This window comes from Homo sapiens, chromosome 15 (genome assembly GCF_000001405.40).
Source record: "Homo sapiens chromosome 15, GRCh38.p14 Primary Assembly".
NCBI classification, from domain to species: Eukaryota; Metazoa; Chordata; class Mammalia; order Primates; family Hominidae; genus Homo; species Homo sapiens.
Genome location: NC_000015.10, coordinates 90,832,169 through 90,857,203, shown reverse-complemented (window position 1 = coordinate 90,857,203; position 25,035 = coordinate 90,832,169). Strand labels below are relative to the sequence as shown.

Below are 25,035 nucleotides of genomic sequence, written 5' to 3'. Positions count from 1 at the left end.
ACCTCAGCCTCCCAAAATGCTGGGATTACAGGCGTGAGCCACCGCACCCAGCCCAGTGTCTGCTTTTAAGATGCACTGTTTGGAAAGTCAGGTGATTCAACATTGCAGCCACATAAACCAGGTCTGAGTTTGCATGTCACCCCTGACTGGGTCAAGAGTGGGTGTGTTTTGGTAATGGGGGCATTTAGAAGCAGGGGCACTGCCAGGAAAGGAGGCAGCCTGAGAACGCTGTTCTATGTGACAGGAATCCTCAGGATCAAAGGCCTTAAGACAACAGTTGTGACCTCACAGATAAACCCCAGAGCAGACACTGGGGCCAGGTATCTGGGACAGGAAGTGGCTGTGAGAAGCAGGAACCAATGTAAAACCCCTCAACAGCCTCAGCATTTCCAAGGGCTCAGTCTTCATAGAAATGGGTTACTAGGACATATCACCTATGGGTAGCATTTGGGGAAATCCTTCAGGGTCCATGTGGACAGGATGTTTGGGGGTTCACATTTATAGCAAACACACAGCACAGAAGCCACTACTGCTGCCTCCTAGCCCATGGCAGACACTGACATTGCCAATCTATCACCATACCGCTGCGGAGCCCTTCTCCCCACAGTGATCCAAAAAGTCACTGCCAATCTATCAGAATTAGCACGAGGCCAGGTGCCATGGCTCATGCCTGTAATCCCAGCACTTTGGGAGGCTGAGGCGGGCAGATCACTTGAGGTCAGGAGTTCAAGACCAGCCTGGCCAACGTGATGAAACCCCATCTCTACTGAAAATACAAAAAGGAGCTGGGCGTGGTGGCACATGCCCATGATCCCAGCTACTCAGGAGGCTGAGGCAGGAGAATCCCTTGAACATGACGGGAGTCAGAGGTTGTAGTGCGCTGAGATCGCACCACTGCACTCCCCTCCCACCTGGGCAACAGAGTGAGACTCCGTCTCAAAAAAAAAAAAAAAAATTAGCACAAGAGGTGAAATGGTGTGGTGGCATGCACCTGATGCCCCTGTAGTCCCAGCTACTCAGGAGGCTGAGGCGGGAGGATGGCTTGAGCCCAGGGGTTCTGGGCTATAATGCACTATGCTGGTCCACACTAACTTCAGCATCAATATGGTGACCTCCCAGGAATGGGGACCACCAGGTTTTCTAAGGAAGGGTAAACTGGCTCAGGTAGGAAACAGAGTAGGTCAAAACTCTTATATTGATCAGTAGTGGGATGGTGCTGTGAATAGCCACTGTACTCCAGCCTGTGCAACATAGCCAGATTCTCCTTTTTTTTTTCTTTTGAGAGAGTCTCTCTTTGTCACCCAGGCTGGAGTACAGTGGCACGATCTCGGCTCACTGCAACCTCCGTCTCCCGGGTTCTAGTGATTCTCCTGTCTCAATCTCTCAAGTAGCTGGGACTACAGGTGCCTGCCACCACACCTGGCTGATTTTTGTATTTTTAGTAGAGACACAGTTTCACCATGTTGGTCAGGCTGGTCTCAAACTCCTGACCTCAGGTGACCCACCTGCTTCAGCCTCCCCAAGTGCTGGGATTATAGGCATGAGCCACCACGCCCGGCCGCCAGATCTTCTCTCTTAAAAAGAAAAAGAAAAGAAAGAAATGTGTCTTTACTGTCCCTCCCCTTCAGGAATCACAGGGTTAGGATTCCACAGAAGAGAAGAACAACTGGGACTCAGGGAGGGAGTGAGACCGGGTCCAGGTCACACAGGGCATCAGTGGGGAAGGCAGGTCTGGAGCTCTGAACTTGCCACAGACCCAGATGCTGTCGCCTGTGACTGGACAGTTGGGCCGGGAGACAGAGCACATGTGTCCATTCCCACGCCCACATACACGCCCAGTGGAAGAAGCCATTCCAGCCCCACATGTCAGCCAGCGCAGAGTGCGAAGTCCCAGGGCGCTTGGGGTGACCTTCTACAGTTTGGACTTTCTGGACTCCAGGAGTCAGCTGGGTGCATTGGGAAGATGTTGGGGAGGCCTAGAGCCCAGGATCTGGCAGCTGACTCGACATGTCCATGTGAGCCTTTGCCCCTAGCCTGTGTCCAGGGCAAACTCCCCAGTGCCCTCTGAGAGAGGCAGCCGGGCCTGGCCCAGCAGGATAAACCTTGCCTTGCGCTGGTCCCCAGTCTGGACAGGCCATGTCCACTCTCTTGGCTTCAGATGCTTGATCCATCCATGAGGAAGTTGGCCTGTGGCTTAATTTTGCAGGGCCTCCATTTCTTCATCCATTAAATGGGGGTACTGATACCTCCCCTGCTGAGGTGTCACAAGAATGGGATGAACTAATTCATAAAATGTTTGGCATGGCATCCTGCACACAGCAGGTGCTCAGGGAGGACACCTGGGATTCTGACTTGGCCTAGGGACTTTCCCAGTACTAAGAGCCCAGCCTGTGACCCACACCTTCCCATGGGAACCATCCACCCCACACCAGCTCTGTCGTCACTGGAATTGAAATTTCTTGGCTGAGCTTGGAAGGTGAGAAACTTGATTTCTGCTGATTCTGGAGAAGGACAAGGAAGATGAGAGTGCTCTCTTTATCTGAGAAGCAGCTCAGAAATTTTCAAACAGTTGCCCACGGTGCCCATGTTCTCTCTGTGGTCTCCGTGTGTGTGTGTGTGTGTGTGTGTGTGTGTGTGTGTGTGTGTGATAGAGGCTCCTCCCGTTCATGGAGGGGATTCCCAGTGTGGTTGGGGACCCGGGGTGGGTAGATCAGTGAGTCTCCTGCTTGGAAATGTGTACCCGTGCCCATTCTGGCTTCCCAAGGGTCATTCCATGAGTCCTCAGCCTCGCTGTGTGCCCCCCCACTCCCCATCACACAGGTGATGTGGGGAAACAGGCAGAGGGAGCACTGCATGGGAGGAGGAAGAGTTGAGTTTGCTTGGTCTACAGTGGTTTTTGTTTTTGTTTGTTCTTTTGAGATGCAGTCTTGCTCTGTCGCCCAGGCTGGAGTGCAGTGGCACAATCTCAGCTCGCTGCAAGCTCCACCTCCCGGGTTCAAGCGATTCTCATGCCTCAGCCTCCCAAGTAGCTGGGATTACAGGCGTGTGCCACCACACCCGGCTAATTTTTGTATTTTTAGTAGAGACAGGGTTTCGCCATGTTGGCCAGGCTGGTCTTGAGCTCCTGACCTCAGGTGATCCACCTACCTTGGCCTGCCGAAGTGCTGGGATTACAGGCATGAGCCACTGTGCCCAGCCTGTGTTTTTTTTTGTTTGTTTGTTTGTTTGTTTTTGAGACAGGGTCTCACTCTTGTCACCCAGGCTGGAGTGTGATGGCATGATCATGGCTCACTGTAGCCTCGACCTCTCTGGGCTCAGGTGATCCTCCCATCTCAGCCTCCCAAGTTGCAGGGACTACAGGTGCATGGAACCATGCCTGGCTAATTTTTTTATTTTTGGTAGAGACATGGTTTTGCCATGTTGCCCAGGCTGGTCTTGAATTCCTGGGCTCAAGTGATCTGCCCACCTCAGCCTCCAAAAGTGCTGGGATTACCGGTTTGAGCCACCACACTTGGCTGGTCTACAGTGTTTTAAAACAAAAAACAGCCCATCATTTAGAATTAAAAGAAAAAAAGCAGCTGGCTATAAAATAATATATATAAATAAAGTTTATATACATACACTGAAAAAAAGACTGGAGGGAAATACACCAGCCAACTAGAGTGATTGTTCCTGGGTGACAGGCTTGAGGCTGGATTCTTATTTTCCTTTTTTTTTTTGTTTTTTGAGACGGAGTCTCGCTCTGTTGCCAGGCTAGAGTGTAGTGGTGCAATCTTGGGGCTCACAGCAACCTCTGCCTCCCGGGTTCAAGCGATTCTCTTGCCTCAGCCTCCCAAGTAGTTGGAACTACAGGTGCACGCCACCATGCCCATCTAATTTTTGTATTTTTAGTAGAGATGGGGTTTCACCATGTTGGACAGGATGGTCTCGATCTCTTGACCTTGTGATCCGCCTGCCTCGGCCTCCCAAAATGCTGGGAATACAAGTGTGAGCCACCGTGCCCGGCCGCCTTTCAAACTTTTTGATAGTGAATATGACTTGCTTTTACCATCAGATGCAACAATAGCAAACATTGTCTTTATCAAGGGGAAATGAAACCTGTGGTTTGGGCTCCAGCGGTGAGCAAGGCCAACTTTTCTCACTTGTCCCGCCATGGGTGGTGACCCGCAGGCTGGGGTGGGGCCAGGTCCATCTTTCCTGTTCCCCAATCTTAGAGGTGGCAGAGGCCCTTCGAGTCACCTTGCTGGCCCACTGAGGAGCTGTGGCTGAGGAATACACCCATCAGGGCCGACTCCTTGCTGGGAACTTGGTGAGGCAGATGGACGTGGTGATGAGCCACAGTGAGGTTTCCCCCACATCCTTTTGCCTGCCCTGCTGCGTCTGCTGCTGAGTCAGAATCCATCTGGGGAGCCACCGTGGGATGTACTATGATGCACTGGGCAGCCTCCGAGGGCCAGGCAGGCTTTGAAGAGAGGCAAGAAGGTCAGAGGAAAATCAGAGGCACTCTGTTTCCACCTGCATCCACTGCTCAGTCCCCGGGGTCATTCTTTGCCAGTCTCAGACCTTGCCACAGTGCTCTGGCCAAAGCGCCCCTTAGGCACGCCTTGGGGACCCCAACATGTGCTCATGCCAGGCGCTGGCCTGGGCACATCCCCATGCTCCCTGGCACAGCCCTACAAGCTGGATGTGGCAGGAGTGAGGGCTGGTGCCTGACCTGCATCTGTCTCAGCCCTTCCCTACTCACTGCCTCCACTTACGGAGGCTGGAGCTTTTCAGTGGGGCACAGACATTTTGGCATTTGGGTGGGACATTTTTTTTTCTTCTAGGGCAGGACAATTCTTCATATAAGACTGTTCTATGCATTGCAGCTAAATCATTGTGACAACCCAAAATGACTCCACACATTTCCAAACATCCCTTAGAGGTGTGAGTTTGACCCAGGCTGAGACCCACAGAGCAAATGTTGGATCCGTGCAACCGGCAGCCTGGTTGCAAGGCTTCCCTTTGGCAGTGACATTGAGGGGAAGTCTTCAGGTAAACAGGTTTTTCTAAGAAAAAAGACAAAGATGATGAATCCTCTCTCTGACCTCCTGAACCAAAACCAGCAACCGCACATGGCTGAGCTTTTCAAGATGAAATGAACAAAGCTGCTGTTTTGCGGGAGGTTGGAGCTCTGCAGTTACCTGCAGCCAAATGCATTCCTAACTGCTACAGGTGAGGAAACAGGCACAGAGTGGTCAAGCCACTCGCCCAAGGTTGCTTCACTGGAAAGGAGGGAAGCCAGGATTCACACCCAGACATTCTATGATTCTGCCCTGACTCATTCCAGCTTTTCTTTCTTTCTTTTCTTTCTTTCTTTCTTTTTCTTTCTTTCTTTCTATTTCTCTTCCTTCCTTTCTTTTTTTTTTTTTTTTTTTTTGACAGAGTCTCACTCTGTCACTCAGCTCTGTAATCCCAGCACTTTGGGAGTCTCAGATGGGCAGATCACCTGAGGTCGGGAGTTTGACACCAGACTAGCCAACATGGTGAAACCCCATCTCTACTAAAAATACACAAATTAGCCAGGCGTGGTGGTGGGTGCTTGTAATCCCAGCTACTTGGGAGGCTGAGACAGAAGAATTGCTTGAACTCCCACAGGCAGAGGTTGCAGTGAGCTGAGATCACAGTACTGCACTCCAGCCTGAGCAACAGAGCAAGACTCTGTCTTAAAAAAATAAATAAAAATAAAAATGGCCACAGAAACATTTCCAGTCCCATGTGTTACTCCAGAACCTTACCACTCTCCCATAGGGGAGAGTGTCCCACGGTGGCTCCCCAGATGGATCCTGACTCAGCAGCAGACGCAGCAGGGCAGGTGAAAGGATGTGGGGGAAACCTCACTGTTGCTCGTCACCACGTCCATCCACCTGACCCAGTTCCCAGCAAGGAGTCAGCCCTGATGGGCGTGTGCCTCGGCCACAGCTCCTCAGTGGGCCAGCAAGGTGCCTCAAAGGTCCTCTGCCACCTTCAAGATTGGGCAACAGGAGAGGTGGACCTGGCCCCACCCTGGCCCTGCTTGGTGTATCTTATGATAATTCACTTTGATGTTGTTTCTTTCATTTGTCCGGCCATTTTCCATTGTATGAGTGTATCATACCTTGTGTATCTCCTTGATGACGTTTCCAATTTCTTCCTCCTGGGATGCTCATAGAGCTTCTGTAGAGTCTCTGCCTGGAAGAGGAATGCTCACAGATGTTCTCACCTTCACCCTGATCTTGACCTGACCTTCAAGCTGCCATTTTGTGTCACTTCCAAGTGGCTTTACCAATCTTCTCCAGAGCTGGTGGGTTTTTATTTGTTTGTCTGTTTGTTTGAGACGAAGTCTTGCTCTTTTGCCCAGCCTGGAGTGCAATGATGTGATTTTGGCTCACTGCAACCTCTGCCTCTGCGGTTTAAGTGATTCTCCTGCCTCAGCCTCCCGAGTAGCTGGGACTACAGGTGCGTGCCACCATGCTGGGCTAATTTTTTGTAGTTTTAGGAGAGATGTGGTTTCACGGTGTTAGCCAGGATGGTCTCCATCTCCTGACCTCGTGATCCACCCATATCGGCCTCCCAAAGTGTTGGGATTACAGGCATGAGCCGCCGCGCCCAGCCCAGAGCTGGTGTTTTTAAGGAGTCTCATTTGGGTCTACATTTAATAATATCAGCTTTTATGTTTTCTTCCATTTTAAATTATCTGATGGGTGAGACATAATATCTCCTTGTTGTTTTAATTTACCTTTCTCAGCCAGGCGCAGTGGCTCACGCCTGTAATCCCAGCACTTTGGGAGGCTAATGTGGGTGGATCACTTGAGGTCAGGAGTTCGAGACCAGCCTGGCCAACATGGCAAAACCTCGTCTCTACTAAAAATACAAAAATTAGCCAGGCGTGGTGGTGCACACCTGTAATCCCAGCTACTTGGGAGGCTGAGGCAGGAGAATTGCTTGAACCCAGGAGGTGGAGGTTGCAGTGAGCTGAGACTGCACCAGTACACTCCAGCCTGGGCAACAGGGTGAGACTATCTCAAAAAAAAATTTACATGTCTCTGATACTATTGAGACAGAGACTTTTTCTGTTTTTGAGGCAGGGTCTCACTCTGCTGCCCAAGCTGGAATGCAGTGGCATGATCATAGGTCACTGTAGCCTCCATCTGCTGGATTCAATCCATCCCCCTGCTTTAGCCTCCAGAGTAGCTGGGACTACAGGCATGCACCATCATGCCCGGCTAATTATTTTGTTTTCTGTAGAGACGAGGTCTCACTTTGCTGCCCAGTCTGTTCTCCAGCTCCTGGACTCAAGTGATCCTCCCACCTTGGCCTCCCAAATTGCTGGGATTATTGACATGAACCACCATGCCCAGCCCAGAGCCTCTTTTTCATATGATTATTGGCCATCTAGGCTTTTTTTTCCTATAAGGTTCATAACCTGTGCCAAATTTTCTGTTGGGTTGGTTGTCTCTCTTCTTGATTTGCAGAAGACCTTTACATATTCTGGATACCAATTTGCTGATTATATTGCAGATATTTCCTCCATATTGTGCATATCTGTTATTTATTTATTTATTTATTTATTTATTTATTTATTTTTGAGACAGGGTCTTGCTCTGTCACTCAGGCTGGAGTGCAGTGGCCCAGTCTCAGCTCACTGCAACCTCTGCCTCCCAGGTTCCAGTGATTCTCCCACCTCAGCCTTCCAAGTAACTGGGACTACAGGCATACGCCACCACACCTGGCTAATTTTTGTATTTTTTGTAGAGACAGAGTTTTGCCATGTTGCCCAGGCTGGTCTCAAACTCCTCAGCTCAAGTAATCTGCCTGCCTCAGTCTCCCAAAATGCTGGGATTACAGATACGAGTCATGGTGCTCAGCTGTACGTATCCTTTAATCTTGTGGCATTTTTTTTTGTTGAACTTAAGATTTAAATGTCAATATCATCAGACTCATCAATTTTTTTCCATTGTAGCTGATACCTTTTGTGCCTAAGATACTCTTTCCTGTCAAAAGGCATGAGGAGCTGGGTGCCGTGGCTCACACCTGTAATCTCAGCACTCTGGGAGGCTGAGGCAGGTGGATCACTTGATGTCAGGAGTTCAAGACCAGCCTGGCCAACATGGTGAAACCCTGTCTCTACTAAAAATACAAAAATTATCTGGGCGTGGTAGAACACACCTGTAATCCCAGCTACTTGGGAGACTGAGACAGGAGAATCGCTTGAATCCGGGAGGTAGAGGTTGTAGTGAGCTGAGATCACGCCATTGCATTGCACTCCAGCCTGGGCAACAGAGTGAGACTCCATCTCAAAAAAAAGAAAAGAAAAGAAAAAAAAGGCTGGGCACGGTGGCTCACGCCTGTAATCCCAACACTATGGGAGGCTGAGGCGGGAGGATCACCTGGCATCGGGAGTTTGAGACCAGCCTGACCAACATGGAGAAACCCTGTCTCTACTAAAGAAAAAAAAAAAAAATTAGCCGAGTGTGGTGGCGGATGCCTGTAATCCCAGCTACTGGGGAGGCTGAGGCAGGAGAATCACTTGAACCCAGGAAGGGGAGGCTGCGGTGAGCCGAGACCGTGCCATTGCACTCCAACCTGGGCAACAAGAGCAAAACTCCGTCTCAAAAAAAAAAAAAAAAAAAAAAAAAGAAGGCTGAGTGTGGTGGCTCACACCTGCAATCCCAGCATTTTGGGAGGCTGAGGCGGGTGGATCATGAGGTCAGGAGATCGAGACCATCCTGGCCAACTGGTGAAACCCCGTCTCTACTAAAAATAAAAAAAGAATTAGCCAGGAATGGTGGTGTGTGCCTGTAGTCCCAGCTACTCAGGAGGCTGAGGCAGGAGAGTTGCTTGAATCCAGGAGGCGGAGGTTTCAGTGAGCCGAGATCATGCCACTGCACTCCAGCCTGGGCAACAGAGCAAGACTCCGTCTCAAACAAAAAAAAAAAAGAAAGAAAAAAAGAGGCACGTGGGGGCTTTGGAAGGCACTGGCTATGTCCCATTTGTTGTTGTGTTTTTTATTTTTATTTTTTTTAGACGGATTCTCGCCCTTTCGCCAGGCTGGAGTGCAGTGGCACGATCTCGGGTTACTGCAAACTCCGCCTCCAGGGTTCAAGCGATTCTTCTGCCACAGCCTCCCAAGTAGCTGGGACTACAGGTGTGTGCCACCATGCCGGGCTAATTTTTGTATTTTTAGTTGAGACGGGGTTTCACCATATTGGCCAGGCTGGTCTCAAACTCCTGACCTTCTGATCCGCCCTCCTCGGCCTCCCAAAGTGTTGGGATTACAGGAGTGAGCCACCGTGCCTGGCCTTACATCCCGCTTGTTGATCTGGATGCTGGCTACACAGCTGGGGTCACTGTGAAATTTCATCAAGCGGCACCCTTATGACTTGTACACTATGCATGTTGTAATCAAACAAAAAGTTTATTTAAAAAAGAAATTGTTCCTTACCCTGAGGTCATAAAAATATTCTTCTATATTTTCTTCTAAATGTGTTAAAATTTTGTTATTCACATGTAAGTCCTGAATCCACCTGGAGTTGTGTGTGTGGTGTTAGGTGGGGATCTAATTTTACTTTCCCATATGGATCACCACTTGTCCCAACGCCATTTATAAAAGAGTCTATCTTTTCCCCACTGGTTGGTGATGCTTCTCTGTCATACGGCAAATTCTCATTTATGCAAGGTTCTGTCTCCGGGACTCCTGTTCTGTCCTTTTTTTTCCCTTTATTTTTCATTTTTAAATGGGCTCTCACTCTGTCACCCAGGCCGGAGTGCAGTGGCATGATCTCAGCTCACCGCGGCCTCAACCTCCCAGGCTCAAGTGATCCTGCCACCTCAGTCTCCCAAGTAGCTAGGACTACAGGCATGTGCCGCCACACCCAGCTAATTTTGTTTTTGTAAAGACAGGGTCTCTCTGTGTTGCCCAGGCTGGTCTCGAACTCCTGGGCTCAAGGGACCCTCCCACCTTGGCCTCCCAAAGTTCTGGGTTTACAAGCATGAGCCACCGCACTCGGCCCCCCCTACCCTTTTTTTTTAATAGCCAGATGCCAAAGCCATTCTGTCTTAATTTCTTTAAAAATTGTTAATATCTGATAGGACCCTTTTGAGGACTTTAAGATGAGAAATGGTCAGAATGATGCTGGGATGAGGTCACTCTGATGAGAGGAGAATGGGTTTTAGAGACCAAGGCCAAAGGGTCAGGAGGAGCTGGTGGTAGCTATGGTGACCTGGCAGAAGGTTAGCAGCCCAGCGTGGGAGGTGGCTGGGAAGTGCACTGAGCGCACTGATGATGTGCCGAGGTAAAGCAGACGGGACTCGCCGAAAGATTGGATGTGGGGGTGAAGCAAAAATTGGGATCCAAGATGACTCTGTGGTTTTTGGCCAAAGTAGCTAGAGGAGAGTGGAGCCACGGGCTGAGATGGGAAAGCCTGGGGTGACGCTGACAGGTGGGCACTTAGAAAGTGCTCGATTTGGCAGGGCACGGTGGCTCACATCTGTAATCCCAGCACTTTGGGAGGCCAAGGTGGGTGGATCATGAGGTTAGGAGATCGAGACCATCTTGGCTAACACGGTGAAACCCTGTCTCTACTAAAATACAAAAAATTAGCCGGGCGTGATGGCGCGTGCCTGTAATCCCAGCTACTTGGAGGCTGAGGCAGGATAATCGCTTGAACCTGGGAGGTGGAGGTTGCAGTGAGCTGAGATTGGGCCACTGCACTCCAGCCTGGTGACAGAGCAAGACCCGGTCTCAAAAAAAAAAAAAGAAAGTGCTCAATTTGCCAGGCGCAGTGGCCCACGCCTGTAATCCTAACACTTTGGGAGGCCGAGGCGGATGGATCACCTGAGGTCAGGAGTTCAAGAACAGCCTGGCCAACATGGTAAAACCCCATCTCTACTAAAAATACAAAACTAGCCGGGCGTGGTGGTGGGTGCCTGTAATCCCAGCTACTTGGGAGACTGAGGCAGGAGAATCACTTGAACCCGGGAGGCAGAAGTTGCAGTGAGCCGAGGTCATGCCACTGCACTCCAGCCTGGATGACAGAGTGAGACTCCATCTCAAAAAAAAAAAAAAAAAAAAGAAAAAGAAAGAAAGTGCTCAATTCACCAGGCGTGGGCCACGCCTGTAATCCCAATACTTTGAGAGGCCGAGGCAGGAGGATCGGTTGAGCCTGGGAGGATGAGGCTGTAGTGAGCTGAGATCATGCCACTGCACTTCAGCCTGAGCGACAGAGCAAAACCCTGTCTTTAAAAGAAAAAAAAAGAAAATACTCAATCCACGCTTGTCTGAATGAATGAGCAAATGGGTGGGTGGGCATGAGTGAGAGGCAAGGCTACCCCACTGCCTGCAGCCCACCTGTCTGAGTCCTCAGGGAGGATTAAGTGAACCCCCCTTGCTCACAGGGTTCTGTGTCTCAGTGAGTCTGTACCACGTCCCCCCAGCGGGACTGTCATTGCTGGCAGCACTCCCCGCTCCCCACCAGGCACATCACTAGGCCCCCCATGCTCTTGGTCCCAGGCCACAGGTTCATGGAAGGCTCCCAGGCCCAAGGGAGCTAGGGAGGGCACAGCCAGGCCCTTGAGGCTGCAGGTCTGGCCCTGTCACTCATCTGCCTCCTCAGTTAAGGAGCCTCCAGGTCATTTTGGGGGCCTGTGCTATTTGCCAGCACAAAGCAGCACCAGTGTGGAGAAGCCACAGCCTCAGAGGCCCTGCTTGTGGGTGGGGGCTGAGACCTGAGTGTTCAGGACCAGATCACCGCTCTGTTTATAGCCCGCCTCTGGCTCATCATCACCAGCTGTTATGAAAGCACCTTCAGTCCATAAAACGTGGAAGTTGCATCTGAGTGCTCAGGCTGAGTCATTTCTCTGAGAAAGCCTTCAGCTGGAGCAGCATTTTTTTCGACCAGGCCTGGAGTGGGGCTCCGTGTGGGTCTGTGTTTACCCTGTGGGCAGCCCCAGGGGGCCTGGCAGGCCCTGGGCACAGGCTTCATTTACTCACTCATTGAATCAAGACCATTTTTAGGCTGGGCACGGTGGCTCATGCCTTTAATCCCAGCACTTTGGGAGGCCAAGGCAGGAGGATGGCTTGAGCCCAGGAGATTGAGACCAGCTTGGGCAACATAGTGAGACTCCATCCCTACAAAAAAAAAAAAAAAATTTGGCCAGGCATGGTGGCACGTGCCTGTGGTGCCAGCTACTCAGGAGGCTGTAGGGGAAGATCGCTTGAGCCCAGGAGGTCAAGGCTGCAGTGGGCAGTGTTTGTGCCATTGCACTGCAGCCCGGGGGACAGGACAAGGCACTGTCTCAAAAAAAAAAAAAAGGAACCAGTTTTAGCCAGGCGTGGTGGTATGCGCCTGTGGTCCCAGCTACTCAGGAGTCTGAGGCTGGAGAATTGCTTGAGCCCAGAAGTTCAAGGTTACAGTGAACTATGATGACATCCAGCCTGGGTGATGGAGTGAGACCCTGTCTCTAAAAAAGAGTTTTAAAGAATTATTTTTTCTTTTTTTTCTTTCTTTTTTTTTTTTTTTTTTGAGACAGAGTTTCACTCTTGTTGCCCAGGCTGGAGTACAATGGCATGATCTCGGCTCACTGCAACCTCCGCCTCCTGGGTTCAAGCGATTCTCCTGCCTCAGCCTCCCGAAGAGCTGCACCACCACGCTCAGCTAATTTTGTATTTTTAGTAGAGACGGGGTTTCTCCATGTTGATCAGGCTGGTCTTGAACTCCCAACCTCAGGTGATCCGCCTGTCTTGGCCTCCCAAAGAGCTGGGATTACAGGCGTGAGCCACTGTGCCCAGCAAAAAAATTATTTTTTCAAAGGATCATTTTAAAGCCCCTTTTGTGTGTTGAGAGTCAAGCACTATCACCAGGATGGACAAGGAGAAGTAATAAGGGAGGGAACCCTGAGTTCTTACATCCCCAAATAACGCGGGGGTGTGCAGAGAGGCCAGGTGCAGGTTCAGGAAGACTGGGAAGAGAAAGGGGAGGGAGGAGCTGAACTGCAGGGTGGAAAGATTGGGCTCAGCCTGGGTCTGCTCTGTACATCCACCTGGGGGTCCTTGGCCTGGAGCTCTGTCTGCCCTGCCAGAACCTCTGGGCTGAATGGGAAGGAGGGAGGAGGGAGGCATGGTAGAAACCAGTCTTTTTTTTTTTTTTTTTTTTTTTTTTTTTGAGACAGTCTTGCTCTGTTGCCCCGGCTGGAGTGCAGTGGTGCGATCTTGGCTCATTGCAAAGTCTACCTCCCAGGTTCAAGCTATTCTCCTGCCTCAGCCTCCCGAGTAGCTGGGATTACAGGCACGCGCCACCACACCCGACTAATCTTTTTGTATTTTTAGTAGAGACAGGGATTAGCCGTGTTGCCCAGGCTGGTCTGGAACTCCTGGGCTCAAGTGATCCTCCTGCTTCAGCCTCCCAAAGTGCTGAGATTACAGGCATGAGCCACTGCGCCTGGCTAAAACCAATCTTTATTAAGCACCTACTTCATGCCAAGCCCTGGGCTAGCTTGTTCTCTTAAGGCCTCACACCTGGTCCAAGAATTCTGACCACTTGCCGGCTGCAAGGATTTGGGTTAGTGACTTCACCTCCTACGTGTTATATCCTCTTCATCCCCTGCCTCATCTTCCTCACCTGGCCTTATGGCTTTGCCAGTCAAGCGAGATGACACAAGAAAGGCATTTACTCCATAAATGCAGCTGGTGCCTTTATAAAGAATCATGCTATGGCTGGCGTTTATGAAGCACACACGATACCAGGCACGATGCTGAGTGTCTTCCTCACAGTAACTCCATGAATCCATCGTCTCTGGTCCATTAAAAAAATTGTTTTATAGTCAGATAAGGAAAACATGGAAACATTGCATTCTCCCTCCTGGGGTACTTTAATATATTAAAGGCTGTTAGCCTGGGCACAGTGGCTCACGCCTGTAATCCCGGCACTTTGGGAGGATGAGGCAGGAGGATCGCTTGAACCCAGGAGTTCGAGACTAGCCTGTGCAACATAGAGAGACCCTGTCTCAACAAAAAATACAAAAATTAGCCAGGCATGGTGGCGTGTGTCTGTGGTCCCAGCTACTCGGGAGGCTGAGGTGGGAGGATTGCTTGTGCCCAGGAGTTTGAGACCAGCTTGGGCAACATAGTGAGATCTTGTCTCTTAAAAGAATTTTTTAAAAATTAGCTGGGTGTGGTGGTGCACACCTGTAGTCGCAGCTACTCAGGAGCCTGAAGCAGGAGGATGGCTCGAGCCCAGGAGTTCGAGGCTGCAGTGAGCTGTGATTGTGCCACTGCACTCCAGCCTGGGCAACAGAGCAAGACTCTTTACTATATATTACAAGGACTCAGGAGTCCTATGGTTAAAAGGAAATAAAAGCAAAACCCACCTGTTTGTGTTTAGCCATCATTTCCCATGTTTGTTTGCTTCCTGAGCTTCATTTCTGAGGAGCCCTTATTAAGATTGAGATTGAAGCCTGTCTGTGTTCACAGGTACACATGCAGACCTTCAACAGCTGTCTCGTCAGTCTTTTACGGGTTTATGGGGGCCCTGTGGACCACTTTGGCTTAGGACCCTGTATTGTTCATTTTTTCTCTCATTCATTCATTCATTCATTCAACCACGTGTCCCTTGATTCTCAAAGGCACAGTGAGAGGTGGGTAAGACACAGCTTCTGTTTTAAGGATCTCATAGATCAGGCCAGGCACAGTGGCTCACACCTGTAATCCCAGCACTTTGGGAGGCCGAGGCAGGCAAATTGCTTGAGCCCAGGAGTTCGAGACCAGCCTGGGTAACAAAGCAAGACCTTGTCTTGACAACTTAAAAATTAGCTGGGCATGGTGGCATACACTTGTAGTCCCAGCTACTGGGGAGGCTAAAGATCCCTTGAGCCCAGGAGTTTGAGGCTGTAGTGAGCTATGACTGTGCCACTGCACTCCAGCCTGGGTGACACAGTGAGACTCTGTCTTAAAAAAAAAAAAAATCTCATAGATCTGATGAGGGAGACGGAACAGTGTGATCAGAAATTCAAGGCACTGAGGGAGCCCAGGGGCTGGCACTTAACCCAGTCTTGGGCATCAGGGATGGCTTCCTGGAGGAGGTGTGGGTTAAGTTGGCCAGGTGAAGGACATCAGTGGTCAGAGTTGTACATATTTGTACATCTTTGAAAACAGTTGTACATCTTTGAAAAACTGTGCATTATCTAGACTCTCCAGGACCTCCCTTGGATTATCTGACTCCATTCTATGAAGACTACTTACAACTCTTTAACTTGTAGGTTAGTGATAGCAATGCAAAATTTTGCTTCTCTACAGACCTGCAGATTCCAAACTCCAGTAGGAGACCAGTTGACTCTCCCCTCCCTAGCTTTGCCCCCATTTGCGTGTTTTTGTTGTTGTTGTTGTTGTTTTTTGAGATGGAGTTTTGCTTTTGTTGCCTAGGCTGGAATGCAATAGTGCAATCTTGGCTCACTGCAACCTCCACCTCCCAGGCTCAAGCGATTCTCCTGCCTCAGCCTACTGAGTAGCTGGGATTACAGGCATGTGCCACCATGCCCAGCTAATTTTTTTTTTTTTTTTTTTTTTTTTGGTGGAGACGGGGTTTTACCATGTTGGCCAGGCTGGTCTCGAACTCCTGACCTCAGGTGATCCACCCACCTCGGCCTCCCAAAGTGCTGGAATTACAGGCATGAGCCGCTGTGCCCAGCTCCCATTTGCATGTTCTTTTCCATATTCCTGATTATTAAATGTGTCTGTTCTTAGGATTTCATTTGAACCAGTTGTAACATCTGCCTGGTTTCCTTAAATTGGTTTAGGAGTAGAATAAAATATTTGACACATATTCTTTTTTTAATATATGTATGGAAGGCATGATTTTGCCTCTTTTTGAAGTGTCTTTTAGAAGGACGATAGTGAGAGGCTCACCGGGCAGAAGGCACGCGTGCAGAGGCCTGGAGGCTTGCTCTTCTCGGCTGCTGAGTAGCCAGTAGCCTGACGCAAATCCTTATCAGAGCAGACCACATTTTCCAGCCCCCGTTCATGAAGGGTGGAGGGAGCTGGAGAAAAATGAAAACATGCTAGTGACCAGTGGCTAGGCACTGATGAGTCTGCACAACCAGGGATTTCAGGACTTGTGTCACCTTCCAGTTATGTTTGCATTTGAGTTAAATGCACTTCTGCGGTGGAATCCATTGCATCTGGGTCAGTGCAATTGAAGTGGTCATTGTAGGGAGCCAGCACTGGGCAGGGGCCACTGCTGTGTTTAATGAATTCACCTCGTTCACAAACACAAGCAAAACTCACCAAGAACAGAAGTGAGTTGGGACATTCACAGCCTTGGTCTGAAACCAGGGAGATTCCGCAAAAGCTTATTAGGATTGCTATTCCTAGGCACATGAGCCCTTCAGTCAATTAGCTTAAAAAATTCCTGAAGTGCATACACAAAAAAAGCAAAAGAAACTGGACTTTCCATCTAAGAATGCTGGGTAATATATGCAGCATTGGAAGGAAACTGGCTTTGGGCTCTTCCAGGCTGGCCTGGAGCATGAGGCCCAGCACGGCCTGCATTAGCCTCAGGCTCTGGCGGGAAGGATCTCACTTCTCTCCCCCGTCTTTCTTGTCCATTTTGTTGGCTGGCCTAACAGCAAAACCCCCGTTCCGTCATCCTCAAGAACAAGTCCGAGCCAGGCACGGTGGCTCACACCTGTAATTCCAGCACTTTGGGAGGCCAAGGTGGGTGGATCACCTGAGGTCAGGAGTTTGAGACTTGCCTGGCCAACATGTGAAGCCGTCTCTACTAAAAATACAAAAATTAGTCGGGCATGGTGGTGCACGCCTATAATCGCAACTACTCAGGAGGCTGAGGCAGGAGAATCATTTGAACCCAGGAGGTGGAGGTTGCAGTGAGCCGAGATTGCGCCACTGCAATCTGGGCTGGGTAACGAGTGAGACTCCGTCTCAAACAAAAGAACAGGCCCTGCGTGGGTGCCTCAGCCAGGCACCACTTTGTTCCCTGAGGCCTAGCTCCCCGTGGATGTGGTGCTGTCAGGGGAGTTCGTTGGTGTAGGAGCACGGGGCATCTATGATGTGCCAGGCACTGTGCCGGGCACTGGGGAGACAACAGTGACCTGGGCACACCCTGCTCTCATGGAGCTCACGGCTAAGGAGACAATACAGTGTGGAGGGGGCTGGGCTGAGAGGAGGCGCCCAATGGGGCATGGGCACAGAGACGCCCCAGGGGACGTCCCTGCAGTGGGGGGAGGGGGGCACAGTGGTAAAGGGAAGGAAAATGGCCATCGCGTCACAGTACCTGTTGGGACCGGTTCTGAGCTCCCATCAGATCCTCTGGAGAACTCCTAGGAATGCAGGAGGTGGAGCTGAGGGGCAGAGGCCAGAGCTGGACTCCTTTCCCTGCACTGGATGGTCAGCGGGCCCTTTCCTGAACGCCAGGCCTCTTGCAGGGCCTACGTAGGGGCTCCTACTGCGGCTTCTTCCCTGGCAGAGCCCAGCAGGAGCTCCTCGGCTCCCCTAGCTCTGCTTCCTCTTTTGATTTGCATAACAATCTGCCCAGACGAGCTTTGTACCTCTGCATCAGGGCTGGAGCCCAGCGCTGTGCTCTGCCAAAGGAGGAAAAAAAAAAAAAAGCTCTTACAATAAGAAAGCCCGACGGACGGTGGTTCCTGGGCAGGCTTCCCAGGGAATCAGCTCTGGATGACCTGCTGGCTTTGGTGTGGGTTTGGGTCAGACCCAGGTGAGGGGCCCTCTTTGAATCTTCCCCCTCCTGGCATAAGGCCCAGAGTCCTGTTCGTGGGGCCTGCTGGAGCCTGGTGCCCAGAACATTTATCCTACACACACCCACATGCCAAGGGATGTAGGATAGTGTAGTCATCACAACACTGCTTGTCTTAGCAAAAGACTAGAAATAACCTGCATGTCCAACAGTAGGGGATTGGTGATTCTGGACGTCCATACAAAGAATGACCCCATAAAAAGAATGAGGTTTGGGGCTGGGTGCAGTGGCTCATGTCTGTAATCCCAGCACTTGGGGAAGCTGAGGCAGGCAGATCACCTGAGGTCAAGAGTTTGAGACCAGCCTGGCCAACACGGAGAAACCCCATCTCTACGAAAAATACAAAAATTAGCTGGGCGTGGTGGTGCATGCCTGTAATCCCAGCTACCTGGGAGGCTGAGGCAGGAGAATCGCTTGGACCCAGGAGGCGGAGGTTGCAGTGAGCCAAGATCATGCCACTGCACTCCAGCCTGGGTAACAAAGTGAGGCTCTGTCTCAAAAAAAGAACGAGGTTCCATGGGGTGTACTCACAAAGTGGGGGGTGGGGGCATCAGTTCTTGCACCCCCATGTGGGCACTTTGCCTATTCCATGCCCCTAGAGGCTGCAACAAATGCGTCAGCTGGGGATGCCCCAAACGCCCCAGGGACTCAGCGTCCCTGCTTTCCATGGCTCTAGTCCTTGCCTGGCACTGGGGCTGAGGAGTCCGCTGACGACAATGGGCCTGCCAGTCCCCGCTCCGTGGCCACGAGTGGCCCCTTCTGCACGCCCTGCCTCCGCTCCCTCATCTGTAAGATGGGGACAATCCACCGACCTTGTATGTGTGATGAGCCCCTGGCGTACAGAGCGGCTGTGCAATAAAGGTGATTCTGACCGAAGTTTGGCCCCGTGGGAACTGTAGGGTGGGGGAGCGTGCAGAGCAGGGAGAGCAGGAACACAGTCCCAGAGATGCCCTGATAGGTCTTCAGGGAGGAGCGGGGACTCCAGTGCTTGGGCCCTACCTGTCACCTGCTATGTGTGTGTTGGGGGCCTGAGCCGCCTTCACAGCAGACAGCGCTCTGGAGGGGAAGAGTTCACCTCACAATTTCCTGAGCTGGGGAGGAGGGTGCGTCAGGCAACACCGCGGTGACAGCCCCCGCCCTCGCCCCCGCCTGCTCCGAGATTTACCCAGCCCTGCTGGCAGCGGCGGGTGACCTCAGCTCACCCACCAGTCTCAGGAAGGGGTGAGGTTGTGCTGGGGGATTGCCCTGAAGCTGCTTTTGCTGCGGTGCCTAGAGGGTATGATTTGGGGGTGCTTTCGTAGGAGCTGGTGGAGTTGGTGTGGGGTGACACTTCCCAAGGCTCTGCAGGGGCAGGGGGGCCTGAGCTGAAAGAGAAGGGGGCTGAACCGGGCGCGGTGGCTCATGCCTGCAATCCCAGCACTTTGGGAGGCCGAGGCGGGCAGATCACCTGAGGTCAGGAGTTCAAGACCAGCCTGACCAACATGGTGAAACCCCATCTCTACTAAAAATACAAAAATTAGCCGGGCGTGGTGGCACATGCCTGTAGTCCTGGCTATTTGGGAGGCTGAGGCAGGAGAAGCGCTTGAACCTGGGAGGTGGAGGTTGTAGTGAGCCGAGATTGTGCCATTGCACTCCAGCCTGGGTGACAGAGTGAGACTCCGTCTCAAAGGAAAAAAAAAGAGAGAAGGGGGCTGAGAAGGGAGGTCCCACTGGGCCTGGAGGCCTGGACCCAGCCCTGTCCAGCATCTCCCACAGTGTCTGACGGTGCCCCCATGACCCCCACAGACCCTCAACTGGCTCCACAAGGAGCCTCCGTCCTCCCAGAAAAGTTAGGTTTTTTAAATTTCCATTTAAGCTTTTTATCACATTCTTCCCTTACTGACTTGATTTCCCCCTTTCATTCCCCCTTCCTGTAAGCTCGTCTCATTGTCATTCTTTCCAACAAACCTGAAACTAAAAATAGCTAACATTTCACACGTTATCTTCTTGATTCCTATCAAGCAGCTCATGATGCCCCTATCTTTCCGATGAGGAAAGAGAGTCATCCAGGGCAAAGGACTTGGCCAAGGTCACCCAGTAGGCAGGGCCCGTGTGCCTTCCTGCCTCCCGGGTGCAAGGCCCCAAGGCTTCGCCGGCTCTGAGCCTCTGAGTCACTGGAACAAGGCAGAGCCAGGTGGTCTGGACTGTCACGGAAGCCTTCCAGAAAAGGAGGCCTCGAAGCCTAGGGGCGAGGAGGAGATTCTGGTGGAGGTAAAAGCACCTGCAAAAGCCAAGCAGTGGTCGGCTGGGTGTGGTGGCTCACGCCTGTAACTCAGCATTCTGTGAGGCCGAGGCGGCAGATCACTTGAGGTCAGGAGTTCGAGACCAGCATGGCCAACATGGTGAAGCCCCGTCTGTACTAAAATACAAAAATTAGCCAGGCATGGTGGCACACACCTATAGTCCCAGTTACTCGGAAGGCTGAGGCAGGAGAATCACTTGAACTTGGGAGGCAGAGGTTGCAGTGAGCAGAGATCGTGCCACTGCACTCCAGCCTAGGTGACAGGGTGAGACTCTGTCTCAAAAAAAAAAAAAAAATAGGCAGTGGGCAGGCCTGTGTGGCCAGAGTGAGGGCACAGTGGACGGGGCAGGAGTCAGGGCCCTGCTTAAGAGATAGGTGGGTGATGAGGGGGAGGAAGTGGATGGGGCTTACGGGGCTCACCAATGCCAACGAGGCAGGGGCTTAGGATCAGGACTGGGACAAGCATCTCTGGCAAGAGCGCCTCATGAGATAGCCTGGATGGTTGTTCCTTCCAAGAGAGCCTAAAAACCCAGGGGAACCAGCTTCCCTTTTCAGCTCTTCCCAGGGTCAGCTGCTCCGCAGGGAATCTTATCTTTAGCTGGGACCTCCAGAGACTCTGGGTCCCCACGCTGTCTTCCTGAAAACCCTGTTTACACAAGAGTGTCAATGACTCATCCAGCTTCAAATGTAGTGCTTCCCAACTCCAGCTGTTCAGAAGAATCATCCTCCGTGGATGTGTTTTATGTGTGTGTGAAGGTAAATTGTTTTCTTTTTTCTTTTTTTTTTTTTTTTTTGAGATGGAATCTTGTTCCATCACCCAGGCTGGAGTGCCATGGCATGATGTCGGCTCACTGCAACCTCCTACACCTCCTGGGTTCAAGTGATTCTCCTGCCTCAGCTTCCCAAGTAGTTGGGATTACAGGCGCCCACCACCACGCCTGGTTAATTTTTGTATTTTTAGTAGAGACAGGGTTTCCTCACGTTGGTCAGGCTGGTCTCAAACTCCTGACTTCAGGTGATCCACCTGCCTAGGCCTCCCAAAGTGCTGGGATTACAGGCAGGAGCCACCGCGCCCGGCCTTTGTTTTTATAAAAATGATATATGGCCTGGCACGGTGGCGCATGCTGTCTCTACTAAAAATGCAAAAATCAGCCAGGCATGGTGGCGCGTGCCTATAATCTCAGCTACTTGGGAGGCTGAGGCAGGAGAATTGCTTGAACCCAGGAGGCGGAGGTTACAGTGAGCCAAGATCACACCACTGCACTCCAGCCTGGGCGACAGAGTAAGAGTCCATCTCAGGAAAAGAAAAAAAAAGATGTATGCTGGCTGGGTGCAGTGGCTCACGCCTGTAATCCTAGCACTTTGGGAGACCGAGGCAGGTGGATCACTTGAGGTCAGGAGTTTGAAACCAGCCTGGCCAACATGATGAAACCCTGTCTCTACTAAAAATACACACACAAAAAAATTGTCTAGGCGTGGTGGCGTGCACCTGTAATCCCAGCTACTCAGGCACCTGAGGCAGGAGAATTGCTTGAACCTGGGAGGTGGAGGTTGCAGTGAGCCGAGATCATGCCACCACACTCCAGCCTGGGCGACAGAGAGAGACTCTGTCTCAAAAAAAAAAAAAAAAAAAGATATATGCTAACTCTCAAACAAAACAAGCAATTCAGAAAAGTACAAAGAAGGAAGTAACAAACTCCTCCCATTAGAATGATATCTTCAGGCCGGGTGCATTGGCTTGCACCTGTAATCCCAGCACTTTGGGAGGCTGAGGAGGGTGGATCATAAGGTCAGGAGTTCAAGCCCAGCCTGGCCAAGATGGTGAAACCCCGTCTCTACTAAAAATACAAAAATTAGCTGGGCGTGGTGGCGGGTGCCTGTAATCCCAGCTACTCGGGAGGCTGAGGCAGAGAATTGCTTGAACCCAGGAGGTGGAGGTTGCAATGAGCCGAGATCGTGCCACTGCACTCCAGCCTGGGCGACAGAGTGAGACTCCGTCTCAAAAAAAAAAAAAGAAAGAAAGAAAGAAAAAGAATGATATCTTCATGAAGGCAGGGGTTTCATCGGCTCTGTTCTCTGCTGCACCTAAAACTTCTGGTGCTCAGTACATGCTTACTATAGCCCGTTATTCGTGTTAACCTTGGGGAATGCCACCTACACAGAGAAGTTTGGAGAGATGAAGAGGGATAGGAAGGTTGGGGCTCAGAAAGTGATACCCCAGACTGGGGCTCTGACATGCTGAGGACTGCAAAGCTGCCTAACCTTGTCTTGTACCCTCCCTACCCCCGAGTGGAGGGAGGGACTCTTCCTGGAATTCCTTATCTGACTAAGAAAGTTTCTTTCCAAAAGAATTGCAAAACCAGGTACAGCAGCATGCACCTATAATCCCAGCTATTTAGGAGGTTGAGACTGGAGGATCACTTGAGCCCAGGAGTTTGAGACCAGACCAGGCAACATAGGGAGACTCCGATCTCAAAAAACAACAACAATAAAAGAATTGTGGTTGTCTCGGCCGGGCGCAGTGGCTCATGCCTGTAATCCCAGCACTTTGGGAGGCCGAGGCGAGTGGATCACCTGAGGTAAAGAGTGTTTGAGACAAGCCTGGCCAACATGGTGAAACCCCATCTCTACTGAAAATACAAAAAATTAGCCGAGAATGGTGGCACGTGCCTGTAGTTCCAGCTACTCGGGAGGCTGAGGCAAGAGAATTGCTTGAACCTGGGAGGCGGAGGTTGCAGTGAGCCGAGATCGCACCATTGCACTCCAGCCTGGGCAACAAGAGTGAAACTCTGTCTCAGAACGAACAAACAAACAAACAAATCCAACTTTTGTTCCTTTGCAGTTCCGCCCTCACCTTCCCATAACTTGTCCCACTCAGCTCCCAGTCATTTGCTAACCACTGTCTGAGCACTGAGCCTATTCATTTCTCCATTTTTCCTCTCCTCAACCTTCTGGCCCCTCTTTGAGTTCATATTTTGCATGTCTCATGTGCATGTAATAAGCCTGTTCTTTTTTCTCTTGTTAACTTGATTTTTGTAATAGAGGTGCCGGTCATGACCCTTTACATGGGGAGAAAAGGGATCACCCTCCTTCTGCCCCTGCAGTTCAGAGAAAGGTAAGTCCAAACAATTTTAGATTAGATTGCACCGTACCAGTTCTATTTTAAACTAAATATATTCTATTTTACTTGAGTTTAACAGAAAAAAAAAAAAAGGCAGATCAGGTGCTATGGTTCACACCTGTAATCCCAGCACTTTGGGAGAACAAGGTGAGAGGATCCCAGGAGCTTGAGACCAGCCTGGGCAACATAGTGAGACCCCTGTCTCTACAAAAAAATTTTTAAAAACTAGCTGGGTGTCAGCTGCGTGTGGTGGTTCACACCTGTAATCCCGGCACTTTGGGAGGCCGAGCCAGGCAGATCACGAGGTCGGGAGTTCGAGACCAGCCTGGCCAATATGGTGAAACCCCGTCTCCACTAAAAATACAAAAAATTAGCTGGGCATGGTGGTGCGCACCTGTAGTCCCAGCTACTCAGGAGGCTGAAGCAGAAGAATCGCTTGAACCCGGGAGGCGGAGGTTGCGGTGAGCCGAGATTGTGCCACTGGACTCCAGCCTGGGTGACAGAGCCAGACTCCATCTCGAAACAAACAAACAAACAAACAAACAAACAGACAAACTAGCTGGGTGTGGGAACATGTGCCGCCTGTAATCCTAGCTACTCAGGAGGCTGAGGCGGAAGGATCACTTAAGCCCAGAAGTTCAGAGCTGCAGTGAGCCATGATTGTGCCACTGCACTCCAATCTGGGCAACAGAGTGAGACCCTGTATCTGAAAAAAAAAAAAAAAAAAGGCAAAAAAACCCAGAAAACTTGCTGAATCTTAGATAAATATTTACTTTCCACAAGAGCTATTACTTCATAATGAATTCCTCATGGTTAAGAAAAAAGATTATGAAATTAATTAAGACATTGGAGTCTTGGGGTAAAAACTCAGATGTTTCACTTTGAGCAAGATCAGTCATTTCTTGCGATAAAAAAGGCGACCACTCCCCTCAAACATCCTCCCTCTTCCTCTTGCCCACCCCAGCTCTGATTTTGATGCTGATATTTTTACTTTGTCAAGGTTTATTTATTTTTATTTTTATTTTATTTTATTTATTTATTTTTGAGACAGAGTCTAGCTCTGTCACCCAGGCTGGAGTGCAGTGGCGTGATCTCAGCTCACTGCAACCTCTGCCTCCCAGGTTCAGTCTGGTCTCAAACTCCTGACCTCAGGTGATCCACCTGCCTTGGCCTCCCAAAGTGCTGGGATTACAGGTGTGAGCCACCACGCTCAGATTTTGTCAAGGTTTGTAACACTTTTACTTTAAAACCATAATTCTCCCAGTATTTAGTCTTTTTTTTTTTCTTTTTTGAGAAGGAGTTTCACTCTTTCTGCCTGCAACTTCTGCCTCCCGGGTTCAAGTGATTCTCTTGCTTCAGCCTCCTGAGTAGCTGAGATTACAGGCGCACGCCACCACGCCCAGCTAATTTTGTATTTTTAGTAGAGATGGGGTTTCACCATGTTGGCCAGGCTGGTCTTGAACTCCTGACCTCCAGTAATCCACCCACCTCAGCCTCCCAAAGTGCTGGAATTATAGGCGTGAGCCACCATGTCTGGCCGCCTTTTTTTTTTTTTTTTTTTTGAGATGGGGTCTTGCTCTGTCGCTCAGGCTGGAGTGCAATGGTGTGATCTCAGCTTACTCTAACCTCTGCCTCCCGGATTCAAGTGATTCTCCCTACTCAACCACCCCAGTAGCTGGGATTACAGGCACTGGCCATCATGCCTGGCTAATTTTTGTATTTTTGTACACAGAGTTTCGCCATGTTGTCCAGGCTGGTCTCAAACTCCTGAGCTCAAGTGATCCACCCATCCTGGCCTCTCAAAATGTTGGGATTACAGGCATGAGCCACCATGCCTGGCTATCAGCATT

The 25,035-nt window shown here is 50.6% G+C and overlaps 1 long non-coding RNA gene and 1 pseudogene across 3 annotated transcripts, besides 6 other annotated features; one reads left to right on the top strand and one right to left on the bottom strand.

Annotated features, from left to right (window-relative positions):
- On the top strand, positions 997-1,269 carry RN7SL363P (RNA, 7SL, cytoplasmic 363, pseudogene; annotated as a pseudogene).
- Positions 3,575-17,478, bottom strand: LOC105370969 (uncharacterized). 3 transcript variants are annotated; one of them, XR_932610.3, is made up of 3 exons: positions 17,304-17,478; positions 15,920-16,050; positions 3,575-4,462 (listed from the first exon to the last, which is right to left on the bottom strand). It is a non-coding gene; the product is annotated as an uncharacterized LOC105370969 (long non-coding RNA). The 3 variants fall into 3 exon arrangements; XR_932609.3 differs by lacking the exon at positions 3,575-4,462 and adding an exon at positions 13,428-13,811; XR_001751655.2 differs by lacking the exon at positions 3,575-4,462 and having other exon boundaries at positions 15,824-16,050.
- Positions 4,308-4,357: an enhancer, noted in NCBI's record as "active region_10093". NCBI's record gives its function as "activates an Ori minimal core promoter by ATAC-STARR-seq in GM12878 lymphoblastoid cells {active_cell/tissue: GM12878}" and the evidence as "EXISTENCE:reporter gene assay evidence [ECO:0000049][PMID:35858748]".
- Positions 4,368-4,457: an enhancer, noted in NCBI's record as "active region_10092". NCBI's record gives its function as "activates an Ori minimal core promoter by ATAC-STARR-seq in GM12878 lymphoblastoid cells {active_cell/tissue: GM12878}" and the evidence as "EXISTENCE:reporter gene assay evidence [ECO:0000049][PMID:35858748]".
- Positions 11,749-12,365: an enhancer, noted in NCBI's record as "H3K27ac-H3K4me1 hESC enhancer chr15:91388069-91388685 (GRCh37/hg19 assembly coordinates)". NCBI's record gives its function as "activates a minimal SCP1, AML or CMV promoter by ChIP-STARR-seq in naive H9 embryonic stem cells {active_cell/tissue: H9 hESC(naive)}" and the evidence as "EXISTENCE:reporter gene assay evidence [ECO:0000049][PMID:30033119]".
- Positions 11,872-11,991: an enhancer, noted in NCBI's record as "active region_10091". NCBI's record gives its function as "activates an Ori minimal core promoter by ATAC-STARR-seq in GM12878 lymphoblastoid cells {active_cell/tissue: GM12878}" and the evidence as "EXISTENCE:reporter gene assay evidence [ECO:0000049][PMID:35858748]".
- Positions 15,891-16,185: an enhancer, noted in NCBI's record as "tiled region #4312; K562 Activating DNase matched - State 5:Enh". NCBI's record gives its function as "activates a minimal TATA promoter and a strong SV40 promoter by Sharpr-MPRA in K562 cells {active_cell/tissue: K562}" and the evidence as "EXISTENCE:reporter gene assay evidence [ECO:0000049][PMID:27701403]".
- Positions 16,211-16,865: an enhancer, noted in NCBI's record as "H3K27ac-H3K4me1 hESC enhancer chr15:91383569-91384223 (GRCh37/hg19 assembly coordinates)". NCBI's record gives its function as "activates a minimal SCP1, AML or CMV promoter by ChIP-STARR-seq in primed H9 embryonic stem cells {active_cell/tissue: H9 hESC(primed)}" and the evidence as "EXISTENCE:reporter gene assay evidence [ECO:0000049][PMID:30033119]".
- Positions 17,479-25,035: the final 7,557 nt, after the last annotated feature.